Below are 9053 nucleotides of genomic sequence, written 5' to 3'. Positions count from 1 at the left end.
TCAAAGTGACTGCGACCTTCAGGAGACCTGCAGAGGTTTGGCAATACATCTGCAGTTTGAGTCTCACTAGTAAAACTGATCCTTAATATTATTAAATTGTGTTGAATTACAAGACAATAACTAAACAGCAGCAACAATAACAAAAAAGTCTTCTTTTGACTGTCTAAGTAGGGGATTAGGAAAAGAACCATGAGAAAGCAATCTTCCTGTGTCTCCCAAACTGAGATAAACAGAATACTAGTGTCCTGCAAAATGTTAATAAGTATTAATCAGTAAAGAAGGTTCTGTGATTAAATAGGTTTGACAAGTTCTGGCTACACAAAATAATGGAATCATTCACTAAAGAATGTCTCAGGTTCTTAACGTGCTAATATGCATGATAATCTCCGGGTACGGGGAGTTTTCCAAACTCATTTAACTTCAGAATACGTTTTTTTTTTTCTTTTCAGAACTCCCATTAGCATCCCATTGGATATTTGTGTTCTGTGACACTCAATTTGGAAAACATGAGGGTAGTACCATTTACATTTCAATGGATGCCAAGAAAAAAGCCCCAGGAGAAGGATTCCATTCTGTTTGGCAATAAACCCGCTCTGAAGCAGACTTCTGAACCGGCCAGAGCAGAAGCACAGGAAAGCCAGTGTGTAGACTCATCCAACGCCTTAGCCAGAAAACCTCCAAACTGACCCAGATTGCTCCAAAAGGAATAGAAAATTTTAGGAACATTTATATTAGATGTTCAGATAGATGCTGTCAGGCCTCTGAGCCCAAACTAAGCCATCATATCCCCCTGTGACCTGCACTTACACATCCAGATGGCTGGATCCTGCCTTAACTGATGACATTCCACCACAAAAGAAGTGAAAATGGCCTGTTCCTGCCTTAACTGATGACATCGTCTTGTGAAATTCCTTCTCCTGGCTCATCCTGGCTCAAAAGCTCCCCTACTGAGCACCCTGTGACCCCCACTCTGCCCACCAGAGAACAAACCCCCTTTGACTGTAATTTTCCTTTACCTACTCAAATCCTATAAAACGGCCCCACCCCATCTCCCTTTGCTGACTCTCTTTTCGGACTCAGCCCACCTGCACCCAGGTGATTAAAAGCTTTATTGCTCACATAAAGCCTGTTTGGTGGTCTCTTCACACGGATGCACATGAAATTTGGTGCCGTGACTCGGATCGGGGACCTCCCTTGGGAGATCAATCCCCTGTCCTCCTGCTCTTTGCTCCGTGAGAAGGATCCACCTATGACCTCAGGTCCTCAGACCCACCAGCCCAAGAAACATCTCACCAATTTCAAATGCAGTAAGCGGCCTCTTTTTACTCTCTTCTCCAACCTCCCTCACTATCCCTCAACCTCTTTCTCCTTTGAATCTTGGCACCACACTTCAATCTCTCCCTTCTTTTAATTTCAATTCCTTTCATTTTCTGGTAGAGACAAAGGAGACACGTTTTATCCGTGGACCCAAAACTCCGGCGCCAGTCATGGCCTAGGGAAGGCAGCCTTCCCTTGGTGTTTAATCATTGCAGGGGCGCCTCTCTGATTATTCACCCAGGTTTCAGAGGTGTCAGACCACGCAGGGACGCCTGCCTTGGTCCTTCACCCTTAGCGGCAAGTCCTGCTTTTCTGGGGAAGGGCCAAGTACCCCAACCCCTTCTCTCCGTGTCTCTACCCTTCTCTGCCTTTCTGTGGGGCAAGAAACCCCCAACCCCTTCTCCTTCACCCTTAGCGGCAAGTCCCGCTTTTCTGGGGGAGGGGCAAGTACCCCTTATATCTCTGCACCCCATCCCTTATTTCTGCACTCCAACCTCTTATATCTCTGCACCTCGATCCCTTATTTCTGCACCCCAACCTCTTATATCTCTGCGCTCCATCCCTTATTTCCGCACCCCAACCTCTATCTCCGCGCCCCATCCCTTATTTCCGCACCCCAACCTCTTATATCTCTGCACCCCGATCCCTTATTTCCACGCCCCAACCTCTTATATCTCTGTGCCTTGATCCCTTATTTCCGCACCCCAACCTGTATCTCTGCGCCCCATCCCTTATTTCCGCACCCCAACCTCTTATATCGCTGCGCCTCATGCCTTATTTCTGCACCCCAACCTCTTATATCTCTGCGCCCGGATCCCTTATTTCCGTGCCCCAACCTCTTATATCTCTGCACCCCAATCCCTTATTTCCGTGCCCTGACCTCGTATCTCTGTGCCTTGACCCCTTTCCCACTTTTCTGGAGGGTAAGAACCCCTGAATCCCTTCTCTCTGTGTCTCTACTCTCTCTTTTCTCTGGGCTTGCCTCCTTCACTATGGGCAACCTTCCACCCTCCATTCCTCCTTCTTCTCCCTTAGCCTGTGTTCTTAAGAACTTAAAACCTCTTCAACTCACACCTGACCTAAAACGCAAATGCCTTATTTTCTTCTGCAATGCCGCTTGACCCCATTACAAACTCGACAGTAGTTCCAAATGGCCAGAAAACGGCACTTTCGATTTCTCCATCCTACAAGACCTAAATAATTCTTGTGGTAAAATAGGCAAATGGTATGAGGTGCCTGACGTCCAGGAATTCTTTTACACATCGGTCCCTCCCTAGTCTGTGTGCCCAGTGCAACTTGTCCCAAATCTTCCTTCTTTCCCTCCCACCTATCCCCTCAGTCCCAACCCCAAACAATTGCTGAGTCTTTCTAATCTTCCTTTTCTACAGACCCATCTGACCTCTCCCCTCCTCCCCAGGCTGCTCCTCGCTAGGCCAAGCTAGGTCCCAATTCTTCCTCAGCCTCGGCTCCTCCACCCTATAATCTTTTTATCACCTCCCCTCCTCACACCTGGTCCAGTTTACAGTTTCATTCTGTGAGTAGCCCTCTCCCACCTGCCCAGCAATTTCCTCTTAAAAAGGTGGCTGGAGCTAAAGGCATAGTCAAGGTTAATGCTCCTTTTTCTTTATCAGACGTCTCCCAAATCAGTGAGCGTTTAGGCTCTTTCATCAAATATGAAAAACCCAGCCCAGTTCATGGCTCATTCGGCAGCAACCCTGAGACGCTTTACAGCCCTAGACCCTAAAAGGTCAAAAGGCCATCTTATTCTCAAAATATATTTTATTACCCAATCTGCTCCCAACATTAAATAAAACTCCAAAAATTAAATTCCAGCCCTCAAACCCCACAACAGGACTTAATTAACCTTGTCTTCAAGGTGTACAATAATAGAAAAAAGTTGCAATTCCTTACCTCCACTGGGAGACAAACCCCAGCCACATCTCCAGCACACAACTTCCAAACGCCTGAACCGCAGCAGCCAGGTGTTCCTCCAGAACCTCCTCCACCAGGAGCTTGCTACAAGTGCCAGAAATCTGGCCACCAGGCCAAGGAATGCCTGCAGCCCAGGATTCCTCCAAAACCGAGTCCCATCTGTGCGGGACACCACTGGAAATCAGACTGTCCAACTCACCTGGCAGCCACTCCCAGAGCCCCTGGAACTCTGGCCCAAGGCTCTCTGACTCCTTCCCAGATCTTCTTGGCTTAGCGGCTGAAGACTGACACTGCCCCATCGCCTCGGAAGCCCCCTAGACCATCACGGACGCCGAGCTTCGGGTAACTCTCACAGCGGAAGGTAAGTCCATCCCCTTAGTCAATGTGGAGGCTACCCACTCCACATTACCTTCTTTTCAAGGGCCTGTTTCCCTTGCCTCCATAACTGTTGTGGGTATTGACGGCCAGGCTTCTAAACCCCTGAAAACTCCCCCACTCTGGTGCCAACTTGGACAACACTCTTTTAAGCACTCCTTTTTAGTTATCCCCACCTGCCCAGTTCCCTTATTAGGCCAAGACACTTTAACTAAATTATCTGCTTCCCTGACTATTCCTGGACTACAGCTACATCTCATTGCCACCTTTTCCCCAGTTCAAAGCCTCCTTCACATCCTCCTCTCATATCCCCCCACCTTAACCCACAAGTATAAGATACCTCTATTCCCTCCTTGGCGACCGATCATGCACCCCTTACAATCTCATTAAAGCCTAATCACCCTTACCCCCCTCAATGCCAATATCCCATCCCACAGCACGCTTTAAAAAGATTAAAGCCTGTTATCACTTCCCTGCTACAGCATGGCCTTTTAAAGCCTATAAATTCTCCTTACAATTCCCCCATTTTACCTGTCCTAAAACCAGACAAGACTTACAGGTTAGTTCAGCATCTGCACCTTATCAACCAAATTGTTTTGCCTATCCACCCCGTGGTGCCAAACCCATATACTCTCCTATCCTCAATACCTCCCTCTACAACCCATTATTCTGTTCTAGATCTCAAACATGTTTTCTTTACTATTCCTTTGCACCCTTCATCCCAGACTCTCTTCGCTTTCACTTAGACTGACCCTGACACCCATCACGCTCAGCAAATTACCTGGGCTGTACTGCCGCAAGCCTTCACAGACAGACCCCATTACTTCAGTCAAGCCCAAATTTCATCCTCATCTGTTACCTATCTCAGCATAATTCTCATAAAAACACACGTGCTCTCCCTGCTGATCGTGTCCAATTAATCTCCCAAACCTCAATCCCTTACAAAACAACAACTCCTTTCCTTCCTAGGCATAGTTAGTACAGTCAGAATTCTTACACAAGAGCCAGGACCACACCCTGTAGCCTTTCTGTCCAAACAACTTGACCTTACTGTTTTAGCCTAGCCCTCATGTCTGCGTGCAGCAGCTGCCGCTGCTTTAATACTTTTAGAGGCCCTAAAAATCACAAATTATGCTCAACTCACTCCCTACAGCTCTCATAATTTCCAAAATCTATTTTCTTCCTCACATCTTGACGCATATACTTTCTGCTCCCCGGCTCCTTCAGCTGTACTCACTCTTTGTTAAGTCCCACAATTACCATTGTTCCTGGCCTGGACTTCAATCCGGCCTCCCACGTTATTCCTGATACCACACCTGACCCTCATGACTGTATCTCTCTGATCCACCTGACATTCACCCCATTTCCCCATATTTCCTTCTTTCCTGTTCCTCACCCTGATCACACTTGATTTACTGATGGCGGTTCCACCAGGCCTAATCACCACACACCAGCAAAGGCAGGCTATGCTATAATACAAGCCACTAGCCCGCCTCTTAGAACCTCTCATTTTCTTTTCACCGTGGAAATCTATCTTCAAGGAAATAACTTCTCAGTGTTCCATCTGCTACTCTACTACTCCTCAGGGATTATTCAGGCCCCCTCCCTTCCCTACACATCAAGCTCAAGGATTTGCCCCCACCCAGGACTGGCAAATTAGCTTTACTCAACATGCCCCTAGTCAGATAACTAAAATACCTCTTAGTCTAGGTAGACACTTTCACTGGATAGGTACAGGCCTTTCCTATAGGGTCTGAGAAGGCCACCACAGTCATTTCTTCCCTTCTGTAGACATAATTCCTCAGTTTAGCCTTCCCACCTCTATACAGTCTGATAACAGACCAGCCTTTATTAGTCAAATCAGCCAAGCAGTTTTTCAGGCTCTTAGTATTCAGTGAAACCTTTATATCCCTTACGGTCCTCCGTCTTCAGGAAAAGTAGAACGGACCAAAGGTCTTTTAAAAACACACCTCACCAAGCTCAGCCACCAACTTAAAAAGGACTGGACAATACTTTTACCACTTTCCCTTCTCAGAAGTCAGACCTGTCCTCAGAATGCTACAAGGTTCAGCCCATTTGAGCTCCTGTATAGACGCTCCTTTTTATTAGGCCCCAGTCTCATTCCACACACCAGACCAACTTAGACTGTGCCCCAAAAAAACTTGTCTTCCCTACTATCTTCTGTCTAGTCATACTCCTATTCACCGTTTTCAACTACTCATACATGCCCTGCTCTTGTTTACACTGCCGGTTTACACTGTTTCTCCAAGCCATCACAGCTGATATCTCCTGGTGCTATCTCCAAATTGCCACTCTTAACTCCTGAAGTAAATAATCTTTGCTGGCAGGACTATGCTGAATCTCCTTAGGCACTCTCTAATCAGATGTCCTGTGTCGTCCCAATTCTTAGACCTTTTATACCTGTTTTTCTCCTTCTCTTATTCCATTTAGTTTTTCAATTCATACAAAACCGTATCCAGGCCATCACCAATAATTCTAAATGACAAATGTTTCTTCTAACAACCCCACAATATCACCCCTTACCATAAAATCTTCCTTCACCTTAATCTCTCCCATTCTAGGTTCCCATGCTGCCCCTAATCCCCCTCGAAGCAGCCCTGAGAAACGTCGCCCATTATCTCTCCATACCATCCCCCAAAATTTTCGCTGTCCCAACACTTTACCACTATTTCGTTTTATTTTTCTTATTAATATAAGAAGACAGGAATGTCAGGCCTCTGAGCCCAAGCTAAGCCATCATATCCCCTGTGACCTGCACGTACACATCCAGATGGCTGGATCCTGCCTTAACTGATGACATTCCACCACAAAAGAAGTGAAAATGGCCTGTTTCTGCCTTAACTGATGACATTGTCTTGTGAAATCCCCTCTCCTGGCTCATCCTGGCTCAAAAGCTCCCCTACTGAGCACCTTGTGACCCCCACTCTGCCTGCCAGAGAACAACCCCCCTTTGACTGTAACTTTCCTTTACCTACCCAAATCCTATAAAATGGCCCCACCCCTATTCTCCCTTCGCTGACTCTCTTTTCGGACTCAGCCCGCCTGCACCCAGGTGATTAAAAGCTTTATTGCTCACACAAAGCCTGTTTGGTGGTCTCTTCACATGGACGCACATGAAAGATGCTGATGTACAAGGAGCCAAAAAGGCCTGCGGGTAAGCTCCTGCTTCCTGTTTGACAGACTAGGATGGGAACCGGGAGTAAAGAAGGTAGGAAGGGGAAAGATGAGCAGGGGACCCGAAGGAGCAGAGGCAGACCCTACTGCCGAAGGAGGAGGAAGGGCTTCCCCCGGCGATGTGGGGCTCCTGGACTGCTCCCTCACCCTGCCTTCTGAAATCCTGCTCCCTCTTAGCTGTGGGATAACTGTGGGGAGGGAGGAAACCAACTTCCTGTCTCTAGAGACACTAAGAACTTTGTTCTCAAATCCCTCATTGAAAGAGTTGCTTAGTCCAGATGTTACCCAAAAGGGGTCCCGATCCAGACCCCAAGAGAGAGTTCTTGGATCTGGAAAAACAAAGAATTCAAGGCAAATCCATAAAGTGAAAGCAAATTTCTTAAGAAAGTAGAGGAATAACAAATGCCTACTCCATAGGCAGAGCAGATGCATGGGCTGTTGATTGCCTACTTTTACGATTATTTCTTGATAATGTGCTAAAGGAGGGGTGGATTATTCATGAGTTTTCTGGGAAAGGGGTGGGAAATTCCCTGGAACTGAGGGTTCCTCCCCTTTTCGGACCATATAGGGTAACTTCCTGATGTTTTCATGGCATTTGTAAACTCTCCTGGTGCTGCTGAAAGTGTCTTTTAGCATGCTAATGTATTATAATTAACATATAATGAGCAGTGAGGAGACCAGAGGTTGCCATCTTGGTTTTGGTGGGGTTTGGCCAGCTTCTTTACCTCGGACTATTATATCAGCAAGGTCTTTGTGACCTATATCTTACGCCAACCTCCTGTTTCATCCTGTGACTTAGAACGCCATAACCTCCTGGGAATGCAGCCCAATAGGTCTCAGCCTCATTTTACCCAGCCCCTATTCAAGATGGAGTCGCTCTGGTTCAAATACCTCTGATACAGAGAGGGAAGAAACACCAACCCTCAGCGTGGACGCTGGCAGCTGCGACCTCTCATGAAAGGGTGCGGATGGCCTCTGGTGAACTGGATGAGGTCTCTGGTGAGTGGGGTGAGGCCTCTGGTGAGCGGCTCGCGGCTTCTCCTGAGTGGGGTGAGGTCTCTCGTAATGGCGGTATGTTCTCTGGTGAGCAGGGCGCGGTGGCGGCCCGGTGCACAGCAGCCCTGGGCAGCTGTTGAGCAGGGTGGGGAAGCCCATGGTTAGCCCAGGACAAGCCTGCGAAACCAGTAATGGCAGCAAAGACAGCGAGGGTTGGGCTGCTTCTGGTGCCGCACTCCCTGGTAGCCGCGGGGACAGGCACCTGAAGAGCTGAGGCCTCCACCAGGCGCTGAAGCCGAGGAAACCCCGTGGGCTCCCTGGGGAGATACAGGGAGGAAAGGTTTCAGGAGTGAGCAGGGAGTGAACTGCGGGACGCGGAGGTGTTTCCGTGACGGGAGCTCGTGGAGAGCGCGGCGTGGGGTGCTGCAGCCCGGGAGGAGAAAACACGGGCGCCCACGGAGCAGTTGGAGAGAGGCCGTGGTGGGAGAGAGGCCCTTCCACCCAGTCTCGCGGGAAGCGGCTTGTTCACGTCCCCATTTGGGTAGGAGCCCTGGGTCTGTGTTCACTGTTGGGGAAGCTCCCGGGCCGCTCCTGGATGCAGCCGGAATGGCTGAGATCTTCAGCCCGGAAGAGGGAGGCTCCGTTCTGCACTGTGGCGTCGTTGTCTCGGCTTCCTCTCCTGAGTCTCCGTCCAGAATCTGCGGATCATGGTGGGCAGGCATCCGTTCCAACAGGATGGTGACAGGAACTGAGCAAAGGAAGGAATAATTCACTGAGAATTCGGGGGAAACCTCAAACAGTTCTCAGGAATGGGAGATTTTTGTATTCTGTAAAAATTCCATTTGCATGGAGACTCAGATTTTAAATCTCTAATTAAAAACAAAAGTAGCTGAATCCATGTTGGGTTATTTCAATGAACTCATTCCAGGCCCTGCTTGAGTCACAATCTTGTACTTTAGCTCTTCCCACAGATGAGCCCCTGAATAAATCCTCACCCCACCTGAAGCTGAAACGGTCCCAAGATGGAGCCTTAATGCAAGTCAAGGACCCGCCATCAAGTTATCCTGGCTTTGGGCCAGCCCTGGCTTGTTCTGCCTGGCTCTTCTTGGGTCCAAAATATTATTATTTCAGCATGCATTCAGTATTCAAATTATCAGTGAAGCAGTTTCCATTTTTTCACACTAAGTCTTTGAAATTCATTGTGTTTTTTGCACTTAGAGTACATCTCAATTTGGTCA

At 48.0% G+C, this 9053-nt stretch overlaps 4 annotated features.

Moving 5' to 3' along the window:
- Positions 275-1075: an enhancer, noted in NCBI's record as "OCT4-NANOG-H3K27ac hESC enhancer chr6:164765489-164766289 (GRCh37/hg19 assembly coordinates)". NCBI's record gives its function as "activates a minimal SCP1, AML or CMV promoter by ChIP-STARR-seq in naive H9 embryonic stem cells {active_cell/tissue: H9 hESC(naive)}" and the evidence as "EXISTENCE:reporter gene assay evidence [ECO:0000049][PMID:30033119]".
- Positions 381-675: a silencer, noted in NCBI's record as "tiled region #8881; HepG2 Repressive non-DNase unmatched - State 24:Quies". NCBI's record gives its function as "represses a minimal TATA promoter and a strong SV40 promoter by Sharpr-MPRA in HepG2 cells {active_cell/tissue: HepG2}" and the evidence as "EXISTENCE:reporter gene assay evidence [ECO:0000049][PMID:27701403]".
- Positions 1076-1878: an enhancer, noted in NCBI's record as "NANOG-H3K27ac hESC enhancer chr6:164764686-164765488 (GRCh37/hg19 assembly coordinates)". NCBI's record gives its function as "activates a minimal SCP1, AML or CMV promoter by ChIP-STARR-seq in naive H9 embryonic stem cells {active_cell/tissue: H9 hESC(naive)}" and the evidence as "EXISTENCE:reporter gene assay evidence [ECO:0000049][PMID:30033119]".
- Positions 7383-8582: an enhancer, noted in NCBI's record as "BRD4-independent group 4 enhancer chr6:164757982-164759181 (GRCh37/hg19 assembly coordinates)". NCBI's record gives its function as "activates an origin of replication core promoter dependent on BRD2, P300/CBP, MED14 and CDK7 cofactors, and independent of BRD4, by STARR-seq in HCT116 cells {active_cell/tissue: HCT116}" and the evidence as "EXISTENCE:reporter gene assay evidence [ECO:0000049][PMID:35650434]".

The sequence above is a fragment of the Homo sapiens genome, chromosome 6, assembly GCF_000001405.40.
Source record: "Homo sapiens chromosome 6, GRCh38.p14 Primary Assembly".
Classification (NCBI taxonomy): Eukaryota; Metazoa; Chordata; class Mammalia; order Primates; family Hominidae; genus Homo; species Homo sapiens.
This window is presented reverse-complemented; position numbering and strand designations above follow the sequence as displayed.